The following is a 19,271-nucleotide window of genomic DNA, read 5'->3' on the forward strand; positions in this document are numbered from 1 at the left end:
ACCCTAAACCTGGCTTGTCTATTAAAGGCCTGTCCATCAAGGCGTGAAAGAGAAAAAAGTTGAGACGAGATCTGAGTAGGAAAACCCACCCGCCATGTTCCACCTTCTAGAGACAAAGGACGGTAAAGCGTGTCTCTGGCCGAGCCTGTTCCATCTCAGGAGCTGCTAGTCTGGTCCTTTCTCATTTGCTGGTTCGTTGCAAGATCGCGTGGGCCTTTCGTGACTGGTTTATATTCTGCAGTGTTTGTAGTCAGGGCTGGGGACGTCTCCAGGTTAATGCCAAGTGACAGGCAGCGTAGCGGCAGCCCTGCGGGCTGAGCTCACAGGGGCCTCCCTGGCGTCCCCTCCAGACCATTGCTGCTGTTTCAATCCGTCAGTCCTGCAAGGGCCTGAGCCCCCAGCTGCCCCAGGCCTTTCCACACCACGCAGCCTTCCCTTCGCCCGTGCGTGCCTGGCCAACTCATTCCCCTTGCCTGTCTCCACCCTGTCAACCCGGCGCCCGGTGTGCTGTGCTGTGGCTGGAATCTGGAGAAGTGTTTCTGGAACTGTGGGAGACAGCTGGGCTGCTTCCGAAGGGCTGCCAAGCACGCATCGCACTGCGGATTCTCCGTGTGCCGCAGAACTGCAGGCAGGATCTTGACACAGGTCCATGGATCTTTCCAGCAAGATTAAGGCCGGGCCGATCACTTCATTCCCCAAACGTCTCTTTCACATCCAGAGGCTCACGCAGGGCTCCTCCTGCAAAAATCAAGGCGGTATACGACTTTCAGAGCTTCAGTGAGGGCCCCTGTGGGGCAGCAGAATAAGAATGACAGCAACTCCCGGCCTGGCCCACTCCAGGATTTACAGAAACACCTCCTGCAGCTCCTCAACCCCCCAGTGCAGCCACGTTAGTGCTGACAGTCTAGGGCACAGGGAGGGAAGGAAGACAGACTTGAAGGCCCCAGTCCGGTGACTCCGTTTATGAGACATTCTGGAAAAGGCAGAACTCAGGACAGAACACAGGCCAGGGGTCACAGGGGCACAGGGCAGGGACCACAGCAGGACCTGTGGGGTGATGCAGTGTTCTCTGTCTCGACTGTGGTGGGGGCCGTGTGGCCGTGGTGTTTCAGAAGGGTGAATGTCACCGTACATACATTACACCTCAATTTACGAGACAAACGATCAAATCATAGCAAAGTCCTGGACATGGAGAGTGACGCTGGCTGCACTACACTACATGTCCTTCATGTCACCGAACTATACACTTAGAAATGGTTACCACGGTGAGCTCCACGTTTCCTCCACTGCAGGCTCTTCAGGCAGAGAACTGGCCGCACCTGCCCCTTCCGGCTGCCGCTCTCTAGTGAAGGGCTGTGGTGCCTGTGTCACCCCCATGTGGCGTGGAGCCGCGTGACTCAGGTCCAGCTGGAGGCTGCTGCGTCTGTGGGACTGCAGCTGACCCTGATGCAGTGACCATGCGGGCCTGGAGTGGGGAGGCCCCCCCTTAATCCTCAGGACGCAGCTCAATGACGGTCACTCCCCAGCAGAGAAGGTGGCCGGATGGGCGAGGGGAGCGGGGGCCCAGCCTGCAGGTGCAGACCTCAGCTGGCCACCTGGCGTGGAGTTTGCCAAGGACAGGGACACAGTGCCGAGGTCGGAGCCCGGGCGGAGACCTCACCCTCAGCCTGTGGGGCAGTGTGTCTGGACCACAGCAGGGCCCTGGACACGCCCCTCCCTCCCCAGCACACCAGCCTCTGAGCGCGTCTGTTCATTTGTAATTATTTTGGAAACACCTGTTCAACTACATGATGGGGGCAAGGCGTGGGGAGCGTCCTCTTTCCACAACACATTTTGTTGCTGCAGGCTGTACAGAGGCTGCTTAGTGACACTGCATCCTGGAGAGTCCATCTGTCCCCTGTCCCCTCCTCTGTCCCCACAGCTGCAATCCCACACAATATCAATTAGCCACAGCATCACCACCACCTGTGCGGGAGACGGGTCCCTCACTGATAACCAGCAGGTCTGGGGGAGCCATGTCTCCTCAAAGTTACCTTTTAAGCCTCATTAAGCAGAAAGTCAGAGCTGACTTGCTACACCCATGCTCACTGAAAGGTGCTGACCGTTGGCCGGGCGCAGTGGCTCTCGCCCACCTTCTGGAACAGCCATGAGGCAGGGGTGACCCCACCCTGGGTGAGGCTCAGGAGTTTCTCCTGGGCTGACACCCATTTTCTCCGAGCCACAGCCACGAAGGCTCAGGCGTTTCTCCTGGGCTGACACCCATTTTCTCCGAGCCACAGCCACGAGATGCTCTTTGGTCTCGGGCCACATCTCTACACTGCGTCTTGGGGCGATGCTCACAGTGGGCACAGCTGTGGTCTCAGGGGCTGATAGTAAAGTTTTATTTTCTTTTACTTTATTTTTAATTTTTTTTTGAGATGAAGTCTTGCTTTGTCACCCAGGCTGGAGTGCAGTGGCACGATCTCGGCTTACCGCAACCACCGCCTCCCTGGTTCAAGCGACTCTCCTGCCTCAGCCTCCAGAGTAGCTGGGATATGGGTGCACACTATGCCCGGCTAATTTTTTTCTTGTATTTTTAGTAGAGACTAGGTTTCGCCATGTTGGCCAGGCTGGTCTCGAATTCCTGACCTCAGGTGATCTGCCTGCCTTGGCCTCCCAAAGTGCTGGGATTACAGGTGTGAGCCACTGCGCCCAGCCTGACAGTCAAGTTTTAAATCTGAGCTTTGGTGCTTTGGAAAGAGTAACCTTCTCCCCCAGCCTCGGTTTCTCCTTCTGAAAAAATGGTCAATGGTCAATGGAATCCCACAGGCCTGTTGTCTCAAGTCCACAGCCTCCATTTCAAAAGGCTCTGAAAATGGAAATGTTAAAAAAAACACTCATTTGATAGCAAAGCCTGCCCTGGAGGGACCTGAGGCCGGGTGTGGTCTTCGCCTTGCATGCCTGCGGTGGGAGTCCTCGATTTCAGGAGGAAACAGCCGCAGCCCCTAACTCTGGCCCCTCCCTGCCCTGGCCCTGTTGTGACTCAGTCTCACTCCAGTTTCCCTCCCTGGGGGGAGAAAGCCTGAAGGGAACCATGGCCGAAGGACCCCCACACTGAGGACAGGCCGTCATCCTCCCTGGCGCTCCCTTCTCCTTGCCCTCCTGTGTCTGGGTTCAGGGAGGCTACACGTGCCTCTGGCTGTGACGTCTGCGAGTGGGGTGTGCCCTGGATGCCATGCAGCCTTCCTGCTGGGCAATGAGGAAGCGCTGGCCTGCCCCCGGCTTTCCCTCCCTCTCTATGCTCACCCCTCCGACGCGCACAGGAGAAGCACGGGGAAGCCGGGTGCACTCAGAGTTGGGGACAGCCCGGGAACCTCCCACGCTCCAACTCTCTCTTCTCCTTCCAGAAAGGGTTACAGGGCCTGACCTCTGGGACACCCAACTCATCGTGTTTGCCAGGGCTTTCCAGGGTTTAAGAAAGACAGAAAGGGCTGTGTCCTGGGAATTGGAATGGTGGCTCACGTCTCACCTCGGTGAAACACACAAGGCAAACTCGACAGAAAGGGAAGGAGGGCCCCAGAGATCTCTCAGGGCTGGAGGTGGAGGGACGTGGGGGCAGCAGGGCTGTCCTGGCAGGTCAGAGTTGTGCTGTAACAGGACGAAGGCGAGGGGGCTGGAAACCCACACAGAAAGAGAGCTGTATGCAGCATCGCACCACAAACATGCTCATATATGCATACACATGCACGCACCCCACATGCATGCATACACACCACACATATGCATACAAATGCACACCCCCGTGTATGCACACACATGCCAAACACATGCGCACATCCCCCACATGCATGCACACACACCCCACATATGCACACACCCCACATGCATGTACACCCCCCACATATGCACACATATGCACACACCACACATATGCACCCCCCATGCATGCACACACACCACACATATCCACACACATGCACACCCCCCACACACATACACACAAACCACACAAATGCACACACACGCACACACACCACATATGGACACATGCACACACACATCATATATGCACGTGTCCACACAGGCACACCACATGGACACACACATATAGCACACACAAACACAAGTTTGGGTAACACACTTGGGCAGAGATAATTTTTGCCCCCATCTGATGTCTGCCTGTCTCAAGACTAGGGTGACGACAGGCGCTCAGTTGCCCCACCAGGGCCAGTCTTTCCTTTCCAGACCCGCCAGGCCTTCCCCAAGCCGGACGAAACCAGCACCTACCTGGGCTGGGGGAGGTGACCAGGGGCTTGAGACCTGCTATACATTTGGGATATTTTTAAAAGCATGGGTTGATGGTTAGGGGAGCAGAGCTACCCAGACAAGAGGGGGTGCACTGCAGAAGCACCCCATCTTCTGCAGAGAGCCTTGAAGGAGGAGGAGGAGTGGGGAGGGGAAGGGGAGAGGGAAGAGGGGAGGGCGAGCCTAGTGCTTTTCCTTCTGTTAGTGCCCTGGAAGCTGCTAAGGTAGAAGGCAGGAGAGCAGACGGCTTTGGATGCATCTGCTCATTCTGGACACACCGCTGATGCTACCACCCTGAGGGCGGATCCAGGGTAAAAGCAGGGGAGTGCTCGTCTCTTCCCGGCAGCAGGTGAAGACGCTTATTTTGGAAACCCAGATTCCTGAATGTGAAATCAACATCTTCCCGTTTGTCTATGGTGCTTGGAATGAAAGCGAGGGCTTCACCGACTTCTCAGCTCAGGGCCGTGGGGACTCTCTCCAGCAGGTGTCACTGACTTCTCGGCTCAGGGCCGTGGGGACACTCTCCGGCAGGTGGGATGGTTCTGCTCAGGGGCTTGGTTGGTGTGGGGTCTGGAGGAGAATAAGCTTCTCCCCTCCGTTTCTTCCACCAGCAGCATGGGCCTGTTGGCATTCACTGGTTCATAGTCGGTGGGTTTCTGAATCCCAGTCCCTAAAGCTGTGGGTGTGTTCATGTACTGAACACCCTTGTGACGAGTCTCTCACCGGTTTGCATTACGTGGACCCACCGGGACGCAATGCCCCAGGAGTCTGCTGGGCTGTGGAGGATGGTTTTATTTCCGTGCATGAAATGCAGAGACGGTTTGACCCTGTAACTTTGGTAACTTTGGTGTCATCCGTGGTCGGAAAGCAGGAAGTGCTGGGGGCCAGAAGCAGCTCCAGACGCCGAGAGCACACAGAGGCTGTGGATGACGGCGACAAAAATGCATCCTGTCAGATGCCTTGTGGCCATCAGACAGCATCGTGGGTCCTGTCTGTGTCTCGGGGTTTGCGGCCACAGATCTGGACTGGTGGAGGCCTCATTAGGACAGCAAGGGCCGTCCACGTGCACGGGGAGATTGGCCCCCCGTCAGGGCCAATCAGGGGTTCCCGGGACAGCAACTGACTGTGGGCTCATTACTTTTAACAAAACCCAGCTTGGAGGCAAAACGAGGCTGGCTAGGAAGAGGTGCAGACATTTTCTGAGGAGCACTTTAGCCAAGATCATGGTCCTGTCCCCAGGGGCCCCGGGTGGGGCAGGCATGCATGGTGGCGCTGTGTGTCTCGGGCAACAGAGACCATTGGCAGGCTCGTGCGCACTCTGCGCTGTTTCCGACCACCATGGCCCCCAGAAACGCACAGCCACAGAGGCCGCTTGCCTGCAAGGGTGGCTCTCGGAGGATGCCCACAGATGCCTGGGCAAAGACACACCAGGGAAGGACAGAGACAGGAGAGGCCACGGCGGTGTGCGGTGTGCTCAGAGACCCCCTTCCATGCATGCCCCTCAGAGGGGCTCCTCCTCTTACGTTAACTTCAAGGATAATTCTGACCGTCTTTCCATTCAGCTACTACACAACAGCTTTTATACATTTATGTGAGTAAAGATGCCTCAGGCACGTCAGACTGGAAATAATACAGCATAAATCACTTTTTACAGCAAATAAAACAGTTGAATCAAAGGTGACTTTGCTAACTGTTTGAACCTTTTCTGCGTTCGGGGTAGCACAGGTTTTGTCCCTTTGGGATTAAATTTGCAAATGCATATCAACTTCCTAATTTTATGAAACAGACTTTGGTTGGAGTATTGGAACACAGTATCCAGGGTTATGAGTTCAAAGAGGTAATTGTTGGAGAAATAATTTAATACATCACAAATCCTCTATTTCTATCTCTTCAAATGGGATGCCAAAAGCGATTAAAGACTAAAAACATACCACAAACAAATTCACATTAGAAAATTGCTGTAATCATTCTCTGCTGGATTAACCAGGGTTTAGGAGCCTCTGGTGGCTGGTTCCATCAGGAAGTCTTTTGGAGAGCGATGGTGAAACCAGAGTGGCTTGGGGGTTGGAGACGGTTTGTGCATTTCACCCATCCTCTTAGGAGAACGGTGTTTGTCCTTTACGAAGAGGTGCCTCTTCTTCTCCTGTTCCCATCCTGCAAGGGAAACAGACACGCGCATTTGGTAAAGTAAGCGTCTGTAAAGCAAGCGGCTGGGCATTGACTTAACCATAAGGTAAAACAAAGTTCCCCAATGAGTCTAGTGACAGCTGCGCACATGAAAACAAATCCCATTGTTGGGATGAAATTATCAGCTAAAAGGAGCTGCTGGAAGCCAGCGTGCCTGGTCAACCAGGGTCTGCCCATGAACTGCTGTGGGCCGGATGGACCCAGTGGCACCAGACAGGCCCTAGGGTGGAGGTGAAGCTGGGGCAGTTTTGCCCTGACATAGGAGGCCGAGCGCCTGTTACTGAAAACCGGGGATGCAGTTGTAGGTGAGTGAATTTCTTAACTGGGGGAAGCAAAGCTCTTTGTAACATATACCAGGCACCAGCGGAACCAAAAGTGCTCGGGCCACAGTGCCTCACCCAGGGGTGGGAAAGTCCTTGGCAGCTTGGTTTCAGGCAGGAAAGTGCGTGTTAAGGGCTGCCTTGTCTGAGGTACGCTGACCACAGGGCATCCAAACGCGTGGAGATGCAGGAGAAGTGTCTGTCTCTTTAAGAAATGAAAGGCCAGGCACGGTGGCTCACGCCTATAATCCCAGCACTTTGGGAGGCCGAGGTGGGTGGATCATGAGGTCAGGGGTTCGAGACCAGCCTGACCAACATGGTGAAACCCCGTCTCTACTAAAAATACAAAAAAATTAGCTGGGCGTGGTGGCGGGCGCCTGTAATCTCAGCTACTCAGGATGCTGAGGCAGGAGAATTGCTTGAACCTGGGAGGTGGAGGTTGCAGTGAGCCGAGATCGCGCCACTGCACTCCAGCCTGGGCGATAGAGCAAGACTCTGTCTCAAAAAAAAAAAAAAAAGAAAAGAAAAAAGAAAAAAGGAGAGGCCTTGTGAACCCCACATTTGTTTTCTAACCTGCTGGGCCCTCTATTTTTACCCAGCAAGCTGGAGAGTCCCTGGGGAGCAAGGAAGCAGGCATGGCCATCAGTGCATGAAGACAAGAGTGGGACCTAGGTCAGGCAACCTGCATCTCCTGACCGCACGAGGGACCCTTACAGAGCCACTGGGCTCGGAGAAGCCTGCCCCAAGCTCCCACAAACTAAGCTTCACAAAACTCGTTTCCAAAGAGAGGCCAAGCCATCAAGAGAATGGGTCTTGGCCAGACGTGGTGGTTCACGCCTGTAATCCCAGCACTTTGGGAGGCTGAGGCAAGTGGATCACTCAGGAGTTCAAGACCAGCCTGGGCAACATAGGAAAACACCGTCTCTACGAAAAACAAATTAGCTGAGCGTGGTGGCGCTCGTCTATAATCTCAGTTACTCAGGAGGCTGAGGCAGAAGAACAGCTTGAACCCAGGAGGCAGAAGTTGCAGCGAGCAGATATCGCACCACTGCACTTCAGCCTGGGCAACGGAGTGAGACTCCGTCTCAAAAAAAAAAAAAAAAAGAACAGGTCTTGATCTGTGAGTCGCTCAAGCAGCAGCCAGCAGGGCCCACACCTTTACTCTGTGGCCTTGTAATCCGCTTTCTCCCGTTTCCTAGGCTTGGGTGTGGTTGGCGCGTGTGAGGCTGGAGGGGCATGTGGACCCAGTGACTCAGTGGGCACAGCCTCTGCCTTTCCTGCTGCCGGCCCAGGCCCCAGCCACAGCCCCAGCCCCAGCCCGCACTCCGGAGAAAGGCTCGATGAATCAGGATTGGAAAAGAAACAAGGATGGGACATTTCCTATTTGCCCAGCTCTAGAATGGACTCCTTAAGTCCATAGGCATTTCCTGGTTATTATTAAACAAAGAGAAAGAAGCAAGGAGTACTTTGCGTGCTTGGTGTTTTCACGGCCGAGAGCTGCAAAACCCGAGGCTGCCAAACCACGCGTGGCCACTGAGCACTGAAACGCATTGGAACATGGCTGGTATGAACTGAGCTGGGCTTTAAACACATGCTGGAACTTGAAGACTTAGTGCCAGGAAAGTAAAATATCGAATAACTTTAAATATGGATGACACACTGAAATGATATTTTGGATGTATTGGGATAAGTATTAAGTTATCAATAAAAATAATTTCATCTGCTTCTATTTCCTTTTTTAATATGGCCACTTGAAAATGTAAAATTCTACACATGACCACGTTCTCTCCCTACAGCAACACTGGTCACGGGGTGGTGTGAACACCTCGGTTCTGGGGACGCTGCCTCCCACCTCCCACAGCCTGCACATCTCTACCTAGAAGGAATCTAAAGGTGAGCATCTTAGCCAGACGTGGTGGCTCAGCCTATAATCCCAGCACTTGGGAGGCCGAGGCAGGCAGATCACTTGAGGTTAGGAGTTCAAGACCAGCCTGGCCAACATGATGAAGCCCCATCTCTACAAAAAAATACAAAAATTAGCCAGGCGTGGTGGCGCACATCTGTAGTCCCACCTACTAGGGAGGCTGAGGCAGAAGAATCGCTTAAATCCGGAAGGCAGAGGCTGCAGTGAGCCAAGCCAAGATGGTGCCACTGCACTCCAGCCTCCGTGATGGAGCGAGACTCTGTCTTAAAAAACAAAACAAAACAAAACAACACAGTGAGCGTCTTGAAAAGCTCAGCTGGAAGCAAAGCTCTTTCGTGTTTGGTTCCTCCCTGAGTGTTGGGGGAAGGGTGGCTCCTGGTGGGTGGTGACGGTGAAGTTCTTTCCCGGTGATCCCCAGCCATTCTCAACACACCTGCAGGAGCACAGCCGTCAGAGAAAAGACGAGCAGCCCCCCACGTTTCTCGGGAGCCACGGGCTTGCACAGGCACCCACGTGGGTTCTGCTTTGCTGTTTGCCAGATGTGGGCACACAGGCCGTGGAGGGCTGTCTTGGAATGAGAAGATCCTTGGGCAAATCTGAGAAAGGCCAGATGACACTGTGATTGCCCAGGTGGCTTCGCGAGCAGCCACTGCAGAGAAGGCGAGCTAATTCTCCGAAACACTCCACTCCACTCAGGCCAAGTGAGAAGCATGCAGACGTTTGTAGAACAGTAGACACACAGCTTTGTCATGTACAAAAAAGTTTAAATGTAACTTGAATTTTTATTTAAATTAAGTAATCGGAAGAATTTTTGATTAGTGAAGTGGTTTTTTCAAAAACTTATTCTCCACCCAAAGAGAGAAAGAGAGATTTTTTTCCTCTGCCCTTTTCCTTATGATTTCACACATGTGCTATAATAAGTGGTTGCTTTTAGATGAGTTTTAGCATCTCAGAGACTCTTCAGACTCTGGTTTCGAGTGGACACAAGTATCTGAAAATTGAAATTATTGTGAATTCAGCTACAAATGAACACTATTTCACTTGATATTAAAATTTAACCATATTATTTTTATAAAATAAATGGCAATAAAATGCTTTATTCTGAATATAAATGATGTACCAATGTCTCTGATTTTAACCAGAATAAACACCCCTGTTTCAAATTCTGATAAGCAGGTAATTTATTTAAGATCACGTTGAAATGACCCTAGAAGTGAAGGGCATTTGAGTTTCCAGCTTTCCCACTTTATCTAAAAGGGGAAAAACGGTGTCTGGCACTCAGCTTTTCGAATGTGCAAAACTGATAAACTAGTCTGTTAGGGGAAAAAAAAAAGACAATGAAGAAATAAAAGTGGAAATTAGCAGAAACCAGTATTAGGCATATGTCTTTATGAATAAGACTTAACCATACACTTGATTTTGCAAGTACAGAAGGCCCTGTGGAATGTATTAATCAGAGTTAAACGCTGTAGACAGGCGCGTTGCAGGGCGGCGGCCCTCTCCCCTTGGCATTACCGACAGCCGAGGAAATTGGGTTAATAAAGCCGGATACTGCGGCGGGGCCGCGGGGCGCAAACCGGCGCGGACAGATGGGTCCCCGGGGGCACCCTGCCCGGCTCCCTGGATCCCGGATGGTGGCAGAGCTGGGAGCTGCGCAGGACGGGCACTGCGCAGCGCATCTCCGTTCACACCCGGCGGGGCACGGGGCCCGCAGCAGCTTACTCACCCGTAGCCCGGCCTCCTCCCTCGGAAGGGAGAGGGGATCGGTGGGGAGGGGGTTTGCTGGACACCAGGGCTAGACGGGGCCCTCCCCTGACCGTCAGGGTTAAGTAGGGCGCGGGCTGTGAGGACCCTCCTCCACGCAGCCCCCCGAGGCAGAGGGCCCGCAAAGCGGTCTCCATCCAACTCCACCCCGCGGACGTCCCAGGCAGCGGATGGCGGCGGGGGGGGGAGGCCAGGGGACATTTAGGGGACAAATTCCTCAGACTTCGAGGCAGCCGGCGACGGCGTCCAATTCCCAAATAAATAGAACAAACTCCTACTTGGAAAAGGCCTTCCCCGGGGTCTTCCTGCGCCCGCGGTCCAGCTCCTCTGCAGACGGCCATCGTGGGCTCTCCGCAGGGCTGCGGAGTCTCGGAGTCACCGAGGTGGGAGGTGCCGGCCACGCGCGTCCTCAGGAACAGAGCACTGCCCTGCAGTTTAGCACGAAGGGCCGGCTGGAGCGGGAGCGCGAGGCCCACTGCAAGAGGATCAGGAGCCAGTAAGTCCGGCTTTTCTTCGTCTCCACCTTTCGTGCGCCCGGGGCCAGGACCGCCTGTCCGGAATCTGACCAGTGCCCGTCCTCGCCGTGGCCCTGGGACCCCGCGGTGGTCTTCTTTTGGGGACGAACGGCAGTGCCCGAAGGATGCTCTACCCACCCCCGTTCCTAGACTTGCTGGGTCCCGACAATACCCAGTGGGTGCCGCGAGTTCCCGGGCGCAGAGTCCAGCGTCCGGCTCTCGAGCTCAATCCCGCGCCCCGACGGCCTTGGCGCTTCCCGCTGCGCTAAACTGTCCACCGCGCACAGGCTGGAAGCGAAGTCGGGCCCCCTCCTCCTGGTCTGCAGGGTCCCTCCAGGCCTTTCCTGTCCGGGCAGAGAGACAGTCACAGGGGCGATCGGAGGACGCGTGCGGGAGGGCCGGGGGCCCGCGCGGTCACGGCTTCTCGTGACAGTGTTTGCAAAGCGCGGAGGGCGTCCCGGAGAAGGCGGCGCACTTGTCAGGGCAGGGCCCCAGGGCGGCGCCTGCGGAGAAGGGGCACACAGTGGCCTGGCCGAAGGGCGTCAAGGGCGCGGCGTTTACGGGCGCGGCCAGGCCCTGGCCCTGGTTGAGGAAGGCCACCAGGCGCCGCATCTCGTCCAGGGCCTGCGCCTGCATGAGGATATAGTTCTTGGCGAGCAGCAGCGTGGCGATCTTGGAGAGCTTGCGCACCGACGGGCTGTGCGCGTAGGGGATGACGGCTCGCAGCCCGTCCAGCGCGTCGTTTAGGTCGTGCATGCGCCGCCGCTCGCGCGCGTTGATGCTGAGCCGCAGAGACCGCTGCTCTCGCGGCCGCCGCCGCCCGTCCGCCGCGCTCCCTGGCCCGCGCCGCCGCCGCCGCTGCTCGAAGGCGTCGTCCTCGTCCCCGCTCTGTTCGCCGCTGCTCTCCGCCGCCTGAGCTGGGGCGCGAGGTGCAGGCGCCGCGGGGAGGTCGCCGCCCGGGCCCGGAGTGCCGTAGCCGCGGGCCGCTTCGGGTTCTCGCGCCGCCCCGTAGGCGAGACCCGCAGCCGCCGCCGCGTAGCCGTGGCTTAGTGCCAGGTACGCGTCCCCCGACAGCGACTTGAGCTCGGCCATGGCCGCGCCGCCTGGGCTCGGGGGCTCGCCGGGTGGGCGGATGCTCATGTGGGTGAGCAGCCCCCGAGGCCGGCCCGAGCCCGCCGCTGCCGCTGCCGCTGCGATGAGGCTCCCGGCTCTGCGCGTCGGTCTGGCTTGCCTGCGGGTCCCAGAGCCTCGGCGCCCGCTGCCTCCTCCGCCTCTTCCTTCTCTCCCACCTCCTCTCCCTCCCAGCCGCGACGCGCAGGGGGCGGGCTCTACCTCCCCCTCGCCCCCGCTTCGGTTTTAAGCCGCGGAGGCGCCCGGTGGGACCTCGCTGCTGTCCAATCAGGGGGGACCGGGTGAGCTCCTCTTCCTGGAGCCGGGCTCCACCAGCGCCGCAGGCTCACAGGCCGGGGGTGGGGGCTCTGGACCGAGGGGCGGCGCGGGGCGGCGCGGGGCGGCGCGCGCGGTCCTGGAGCGCTAGTACTTGCTTCTCGACTCCCCGGCCGCCGCCTCCGGCCGCCCCGGGGATTCCGCCACCAAACGCACGCGTCCCAGGTGGGCACCCGCCTCGGTCCGTCTTTGAGTCTGACCCTAGCGCAAGAGTCCCTGGCGACACGCAGGGGCCAGAGCGGGGGGGCGCGCCGCAATAGCAGCAGCGCCAGCGCCAACACCCTGTCCCGCTGAGGGGCCGCTTCGGGTCGGGGTCAGGGTCGTGGGCGCTCTGGTGCAGCCGCGGCGCAGCGTGTACCCGGAGCCCGCACACTCCCTGCTCGGGGCGCCCTGTGGCCAGGCTTGAGGGGCAGAGTGAGAGGGAGTTTCTAGAACCTGTTGAAAAACGCCACGAGCGTTGCAGGCCGGGGAGGGCGGGAAGGTGGAGGGCAGCGCGGCCTGGGGCTCCCCGGGGGTGGGAGGGGAGCTCTGTGAGCTGCAGGACCGCCTCTTCCCTGCCAGCCGCTTCCTGGGCATCTATCAGCGAAACGCGTGAGGCTTGGTGGGCTTTCCCGGAGCCTCCGAACCCCTGGGGTCCAGCCACACTGGATGGGAATGTGGCCAGCCTCGGACTCGCCTTTTCAGTCCTCTTCCAACCCCGCATGAAGGCCAGAACCCCAGCCCTTCTCCCAGGTGGGAACCTGCCTGGAGGCCCGGCCGAGTGCTGAGGCTAGAGTGTGCTGAGGGATAGTGGCTTCTCCGGTCCTGGCTTGGGTGGGAGACTGGGCCACCCTGGCCTATGGCACGAGGTGGAGCGGCCCGTCGGGCCCTTCTGTGTGACCTGGGAAGGGCCGCATACCCTCCCTGTTCTCCAGGCTCCGCCCCAGGAGGAGCCACAGCGATGGGGCAGTGTGCGCAGCCCCGGGAGGGGAGTGGGAGCTGCACGTGTGTGGGGCGGATGTGCTGTCTGGAAGGTTCTGGGAACGCAGCAGTGACCGGCCTGTCCGGTGGTTCCCTGCCAGGTGCGGGGTGTGAGGAGACAGATGCATGGATAAGTCTCCGTGGGAAACTCAGGCCTTTGTCCTGGCGGAGGGGAATGGGTCTGAGGCAGCCTCTGCCGGGCTGGCGGCCTGTCTGGCTGCGCGTCCTGCAGCACCGGCCTCACCCCCAGCACACGCCCGCCAGGAGCGCAGGGGCCCCGAGGATGGAAGCGTCTGTCTGAGGCGCTGTCCTGGGACCCCACCCCGCCTTCGGGGCTGATGCACAGACCGGGAATTGAGGATACCTGGTGTGGAGGAGGCCGCTGTGTTTGGGCCTGGGTCTGAAGGGTGAGTGGGTGTCATTGTGGCCACGGGCCGGGGTCGGGGGAGCATTCAGGTGGCCGGAGGAGGCCTGGCACAGGGAAGGGCAGTGAGGGGCCCGGGTGGGGCCAGGAGATAGAGGGGCGGGACCAGGCCTGTGGGACAGTTTGAATCACGCGGGGAGTTTGGTCTTTATGGGAAGAAAGGCGCCGTGGCCATTCGGAGAGCCACTCTGGCACTGCTGCCGGTGCGGTCCGGGGCTGCGGGGCCTCCTCCTGGGCCTGAACTGCAGGGCTGGTGGGGGCCATGGGGGAAGGTGGCTCCACAGGTCCCCGGAGCTGGGGGAGCAGGAGGATGGGGTTGACCAGGAGGGAAAGCTATGGAGCTGGAGAATGCAGGAGGCCCCCGAGGGGAGGTGCAGCCAGCGCTGGTGGGGAGGCCTCTGAGGGGTACGCGGTAATTGACATCACGGGTGTGGGTGAGAGTGGCTTTCAAAGCATCGGCTGGAGCAGGGTCCCCATTAAAGCCAGAGACGCTGACGCCATGGGGCTGGGGTTGGGGCTGGGCCGGGGCTTTGGGAGGTCCGAACTCCCCAGCAGGGAGCCAGGGCTCTGGGCCAGTTCCCAGGCCCAGTTAATCTTCAGTAGAATCGATCGACCTTGGCTCAGAGGGTTGGAGGCAGGGATGGGCAGGGGGTGAGGGGTGAGGCGCACGAAACAGCACCCGGGTGAGGCCCCTGCTGCGGCCCCTGCGGGACCAGCCACGAATTCCGGGCTTCAGCCCCGCCAGCTTCAGAGGCGGCGTTTTCGGTGCGACGCTGCCACCTGCTGGCTGTCTGGGAGTTGCACCCAGAGGCTCAGAACCCGTGTTTCTCAGAGGGCCCGGGAGGGGCGAAACTGCGGGTTCCCAGGCCCTCCCGGATTCTGCGCAGGTGGACGCTGGGGGCTGTTTCACAGGCGCCCACATGATAGGGGAGCTGGAGGAACCTGCCGTCTCCGCCATCGAGCGCCCCTCCGAGCTGGGGTTGGACGCTGCCAGTTTGCACAGCAGCAGGTGAGCCTGGGGGGTTGAGGGCTGAGCGGGGGTCCCAGCCGATGAAGCAGCCCCGCACCTTGGCCAGCTTCTCGAACCTCCTCTGGGCAGAGGCTGTGGAGGCTGCGAAGCGGCGGAGGCGTTGACCAGGCCAGCTGCTCAGCCTTTCTGGCCTCAGTTTCCACAGCTGTAAAGTGGGGTCTGTCCACAACACGTGTGGTCTAGCGACGGCCCTGCGGAGTGGGTCTGTAACTGCGGACTCACTTGTCCCGGGCTGTTCTGAACCGGTGGTTCCCCCGCCCTCCCAGGAGACAGCACCTGTGGCCGGCAGCCGCCCCTGCAGCGGCCCCTGGCTCCCACCGCGCCCTGGCCCTGGGGGTGCCCAAAGACCGGGGTGTGCTGTGGCCCGAGTGAGCACCCTGTGGGCGTCACTGCTGTCCATGCTGCTGGGATTGGGGAAGGGAGGTCTGGTGGGGCACAGTGGGCGCACCAGGAGGTCAGGCTGGGTGGGGGGAGCGGGAGGGAGCCCCCGCTGGGTGGTCTTGGGCCAGCCAGCTTCTTGCCTGCAGGGCAATGGTGCTAGTAACTGGAACAACCCACCCTGCCTCTCCCAGAGACGGCGCCTCCTCAGTGCTCCCCTTCCACAGGACGTAGGGTCTTCTAGAGATCAAAACAGGGAGGAGGAAAGAAATCCTACCGCAGGCCCCTGCCCCGACCCTGGGACCCACACTGTTTGGCTTCTAGGGACAACGCCCAGGCCCTGGGATTTGAAGACTCCACCTTTTCTTTCGTGTGTATATGTGCTCTGTCAAAATGTGTATCACATGAAGTTGATCGTTGTGACCATTTTCAGGTGCACAGCCCAGGGGCATTGTACACAACCGCGGTGTTGTGCAGCCGACGCCCCCATCCAACTCCAGAATGTTTGTATCTTCCCAAACTGAAACTCTGTCCCCAGTAACCCCGGCTCCCCTCCTCCCCCACCCGCTGGAAACCACGACTCCGCCGCCCACCTCTGCATTTGACTGCTCCAAGTACCTCAGGAAATGACCTCATGCGGTCTCCGCACGTTCGCGTCCATCTTGTTTATTTCCAGCGTTTGGCCCGTGGGAGCGATGAGCGCACCTGTTCAGCCCCTGCTTTCAGTTCTTTCAGGGAGTTCTCACGTGGTCTTCAGAGGTTCCCACACGCTGCTTCCCACAGCAGCTGCACCATTGTACATTCCAACAGCAACGGACAAGGGCTCCAATCTCTTCGTATTCTTGCAAACATTTACTATTTTATGTGGTTTTTTTTTCTTTTCTTTTTTTTTTTTTTTTTTTGAGACGGAGTCTCGCTCTGTCGCCCAGGCTGGAGTGCAGTGGTGCGATCTCGGCTCACTGCAAGCTCCACCTCCCGGGTTCCCGCCATTCTCCTGCCTCAGCCGCCCGAGTAGCTGGGACTACAGGCGCCCGCTACCACGCCCGGCTAATTTTTTGTATTTTTATTAGAGACGGGGTTTCACCGTATTAGCCAGGATGGTCTCGATCTCCTGACCTCGTGATCCACCCGCCTCGGCCTCCCAAAGTGCTGGGATTACAGGCGTGCGCTACTGCCCGGTTTGAAAAGGCAATTGAGGTTTCTAAACTCCTACTAAAGGAAATAATTCCTAGAGTTGGGCTGCCTAAGAGCTTACAGAGCGATAATGGCTCACCTTTCACAGCGACAGTTACCCGAAACACATCTTCAGCCCTAGGAATTCAGTGCCGCCTTGACTCGGCACGGAGGCCACAGTCTTTGGGGAAAGTAGAAAGAGCTAATCAAACTCTAAAAAGGACTCTTGCTAAACTATGCCAAGAGACATCAGAAACCTGGAGGTCTTTATTACCTGTAGCCTTATTACGGGTTCGAATGGCCCCTAAGGGAAATCTGCATCTCAGCACTTTTGAAATAATGTATAGAAGGCCTTTCTTAACTACAGACCTCCTAATAGACATAGATACTTTCAAGCTACAGAATTATGTGATCAACTTAGGACAAGTGCAAAACGCACTCCTTGACTATGGAAATCAGAGACTCCCTTCCCCCACTGAGGAAGACAATCTGGTTCCAACCCAGCTGGGAGACTGGGTCCTATTGCAAACTTGGAAGGAAGGATCCTCAGCAGATCAACTTTCCCCCCAAGTGGAGGGGACTCTATCAAGTTCTCCTTAGTACCCCAACTACAGTTAAACTTCTGGGAATAAACAGCTGGGTCCACTTATCTCAAATTAAACCTGTCTCTTATAAAGCCCCACAGGCCAACGGAACACAAGAGACTGATCCCGTTTATTCCCGTGAGCCAGTCAGTGACCTCTGATTCCTGTTCCTAAGAAATGAGAGGGATGGGGGGCATAAATACCTGGATTGGCATTCTACTTTTAGGCACAAGTTGGAATCATGCAGAGAGTGATTTATTTACTGAGTAGGCACAGACTTTAGCCTGTCTACATAATCACATAAACGGTTGGGTATGTGGAGAATTGCCACTTTCCTCCACCTCTGGGTTGCCCTGGCATAGTCAACTGGCCAGCCTAAGTCTGTGGGGATTTTACGTTCCAGACCATTACCCAGGCTATGAGAGCTTTAGAGCTCACGTCTCTGCCATTGATGAGCTGTCAGTCAGTCCTCTATTGGCTTGGTTCCAACAGCTGCCCAGTTCTTGGAAAGCCTTTCTGTTTAGCTAGTTTACTTGGAATGATTTTATTTATTTTGCTTTGCTATTGTAGAATATATTGCGGTTGTACTCTTTGTGTAGGAATGCATGACAAGCTCACTCAACACTTTCTTCAGTTGGACATTTTTTTGTTTTTTTTTTGTTTTTTTTTGAGACGGAGTCTTTCTCTGTAGCCCAGGCTGGAGTGCAGTGGCATGATCTTGGCTCACTGCAACCTCCACCTTCTGGGTTCAAGTGATTCTCCTGCCTCAGCCTCTTGAGTAGCTGGGATTACAGGCGCACACCACCATGCCTAGCTAATTTTGTATTTTTAGTAGAGACGGGGTTTCTCCATGTTGGTCAGGCTGGTCTTGAACTCCTGACCTCAGATGATCCACCCGCCTCAGCCTTCCAAAGTGCTGGGATTACAGGTGTGAACCACCATGCCCATCCTGTTTTTCCTTCTTAAATGAGACAAGAGGGATAGAGAATGGGGCTGTGTGTTTCCCTTCCCAACATAAAAGACTGGAGGGAGCTGGAGTTGATACTTCCCTTCCTCCAGGTTGGTTAGACTCTGATTAAACTCTGGTACGTTAAAAATAGTTTCTCTTGAGGGCAGAGGAAGAACAGAATGCTCTGGCATATTTCGAAAGTGCTACTTCTCCCCTCCCCTTGTCCAAAGCACAAGGGGATTTTTCTCTGGTATTTACCTGGGGGATCTGGTAGAGTTTGTGCAGGTAAAACTCACAGAAGTGTGGCCTCCACCCTAAGACTGGGCCCTGGAGTTTTTAACTGTCAAGCTTGGCCACACAGCCTCCAGCAATCTGCCAGTGACAGTTTAGGTTTTCCCAACCTGGCAGTGGTTCCCAGGGAGGTGTCTGCTCTGCAGAATTGGGATTCTCTGCATCTGTCTGTCGTCTCTACAACTTTTTTGGGCAGTGGTTTGCCCTGTGACCTCATCATCTGTTGAATATAAGAAATATTATTGACTTTCAGTTTGCTCACGTTTTGTTCTTGTGAAAAGATTGATTGTTTCCAAGCTTCTCACACAGTGGACTAGAAATTGATTCATTTCATTTATCCTTTTTGGGTTTGTGGGGTTCTTGAATTTGTGACTTGATGATTTTGATTACTTTTAGAAATTTCCTGGCTATTAACTCTGGAGTATTGCTTCAACCTCATGTTCTCTCATCTCCTCTCTGGGATCCAGTTACAAATATATTGGTCCTTCTTCCTGAATCCTTTGTGTATCTTAACCTGTCACCTGTATTTTCCATTTGTATTATCCATACTTCATTCTGAATATTTTCTACTGACCTATTTTCCACTTCACTAATTCTCTCTTCAGCTGAATTTGCTATTAAAGCCACTAAGTTTATAATTTAAGTGATTTTATTTTTCAGTGCTAGAATTTTCATTTGGTTTTTCTAGGTTTTTTTTTTTTTTTTTGCTGAAATTCTAAATTCCACCTCTATTTCTGCAAATGCTGTAAGCACAGTTTTGTTCCAGTCTCTGTCTCGCGACTCCAGTGTCTGGACTGGTAGATCTTCTGCCTATGGTCTCTGCTGCTTTCATTCTTGCTGATTTGTTTTTTCAATTGTCTAGAATTTTTATTGTGGACTGAACATTGTATTTGTAAAATTATTTTGTAGAAATCATTTGAGGTCTATTTTATTTTCCTCCAGAGAGGGTTTATGTTTGCATCTGCGAGACATGGGGGCACTAGGGGTCCTGGATCATCTTACTCTAGTTTCAGGGATTGAAATCATTTCAAGATGATTACAG

At 55.8% G+C, this 19,271-nt stretch overlaps 1 protein-coding gene across 1 annotated transcript, besides 11 other annotated features; it reads right to left on the bottom strand.

Moving 5' to 3' along the window:
* Positions 3,487 to 4,251: an enhancer, noted in NCBI's record as "H3K27ac-H3K4me1 hESC enhancer chr20:61629479-61630243 (GRCh37/hg19 assembly coordinates)". NCBI's record gives its function as "activates a minimal SCP1, AML or CMV promoter by ChIP-STARR-seq in naive H9 embryonic stem cells {active_cell/tissue: H9 hESC(naive)}" and the evidence as "EXISTENCE:reporter gene assay evidence [ECO:0000049][PMID:30033119]".
* Positions 4,766 to 5,408: an enhancer, noted in NCBI's record as "H3K4me1 hESC enhancer chr20:61630758-61631400 (GRCh37/hg19 assembly coordinates)". NCBI's record gives its function as "activates a minimal SCP1, AML or CMV promoter by ChIP-STARR-seq in primed H9 embryonic stem cells {active_cell/tissue: H9 hESC(primed)}" and the evidence as "EXISTENCE:reporter gene assay evidence [ECO:0000049][PMID:30033119]".
* Positions 5,409 to 6,050: an enhancer, noted in NCBI's record as "H3K4me1 hESC enhancer chr20:61631401-61632042 (GRCh37/hg19 assembly coordinates)". NCBI's record gives its function as "activates a minimal SCP1, AML or CMV promoter by ChIP-STARR-seq in naive H9 embryonic stem cells {active_cell/tissue: H9 hESC(naive)}" and the evidence as "EXISTENCE:reporter gene assay evidence [ECO:0000049][PMID:30033119]".
* Positions 9,205 to 9,718: an enhancer, noted in NCBI's record as "H3K4me1 hESC enhancer chr20:61635197-61635710 (GRCh37/hg19 assembly coordinates)". NCBI's record gives its function as "activates a minimal SCP1, AML or CMV promoter by ChIP-STARR-seq in primed H9 embryonic stem cells {active_cell/tissue: H9 hESC(primed)}" and the evidence as "EXISTENCE:reporter gene assay evidence [ECO:0000049][PMID:30033119]".
* Positions 11,287 to 12,324, bottom strand: BHLHE23 (basic helix-loop-helix family member e23). Its single transcript, NM_080606.4, has one exon. The coding sequence runs from the start codon at positions 12,132 to 12,134 to the stop codon at positions 11,409 to 11,411; it is 726 nt and encodes a 241-aa protein (NP_542173.2). The 5' UTR covers positions 12,135 to 12,324; the 3' UTR covers positions 11,287 to 11,408.
* Positions 12,043 to 12,748: an enhancer, noted in NCBI's record as "H3K27ac-H3K4me1 hESC enhancer chr20:61638035-61638740 (GRCh37/hg19 assembly coordinates)". NCBI's record gives its function as "activates a minimal SCP1, AML or CMV promoter by ChIP-STARR-seq in naive H9 embryonic stem cells {active_cell/tissue: H9 hESC(naive)}" and the evidence as "EXISTENCE:reporter gene assay evidence [ECO:0000049][PMID:30033119]".
* Positions 12,749 to 13,456: an enhancer, noted in NCBI's record as "H3K27ac-H3K4me1 hESC enhancer chr20:61638741-61639448 (GRCh37/hg19 assembly coordinates)". NCBI's record gives its function as "activates a minimal SCP1, AML or CMV promoter by ChIP-STARR-seq in naive H9 embryonic stem cells {active_cell/tissue: H9 hESC(naive)}" and the evidence as "EXISTENCE:reporter gene assay evidence [ECO:0000049][PMID:30033119]".
* Positions 14,308 to 14,377: an enhancer, noted in NCBI's record as "active region_18221". NCBI's record gives its function as "activates an Ori minimal core promoter by ATAC-STARR-seq in GM12878 lymphoblastoid cells {active_cell/tissue: GM12878}" and the evidence as "EXISTENCE:reporter gene assay evidence [ECO:0000049][PMID:35858748]".
* Positions 15,068 to 15,367: a silencer, noted in NCBI's record as "silent region_13142". NCBI's record gives its function as "represses an Ori minimal core promoter by ATAC-STARR-seq in GM12878 lymphoblastoid cells {active_cell/tissue: GM12878}" and the evidence as "EXISTENCE:reporter gene assay evidence [ECO:0000049][PMID:35858748]".
* Positions 15,378 to 15,457: a silencer, noted in NCBI's record as "silent region_13143". NCBI's record gives its function as "represses an Ori minimal core promoter by ATAC-STARR-seq in GM12878 lymphoblastoid cells {active_cell/tissue: GM12878}" and the evidence as "EXISTENCE:reporter gene assay evidence [ECO:0000049][PMID:35858748]".
* Positions 15,778 to 16,097: an enhancer, noted in NCBI's record as "active region_18222". NCBI's record gives its function as "activates an Ori minimal core promoter by ATAC-STARR-seq in GM12878 lymphoblastoid cells {active_cell/tissue: GM12878}" and the evidence as "EXISTENCE:reporter gene assay evidence [ECO:0000049][PMID:35858748]".
* Positions 18,298 to 18,447: an enhancer, noted in NCBI's record as "active region_18223". NCBI's record gives its function as "activates an Ori minimal core promoter by ATAC-STARR-seq in GM12878 lymphoblastoid cells {active_cell/tissue: GM12878}" and the evidence as "EXISTENCE:reporter gene assay evidence [ECO:0000049][PMID:35858748]".

Source organism: Homo sapiens, chromosome 20 (assembly GCF_000001405.40).
Source record: "Homo sapiens chromosome 20, GRCh38.p14 Primary Assembly".
In the NCBI taxonomy this organism is placed as follows: Eukaryota; Metazoa; Chordata; class Mammalia; order Primates; family Hominidae; genus Homo; species Homo sapiens.

Excerpts from the sequence above, each read along its gene's own strand:
- BHLHE23 (NM_080606.4), bottom strand. The coding sequence starts at position 12,134 with ATGAGCATCCGCCCACCCGGCGAGCCCCCGAGCCCAGGCGGCGCGGCC.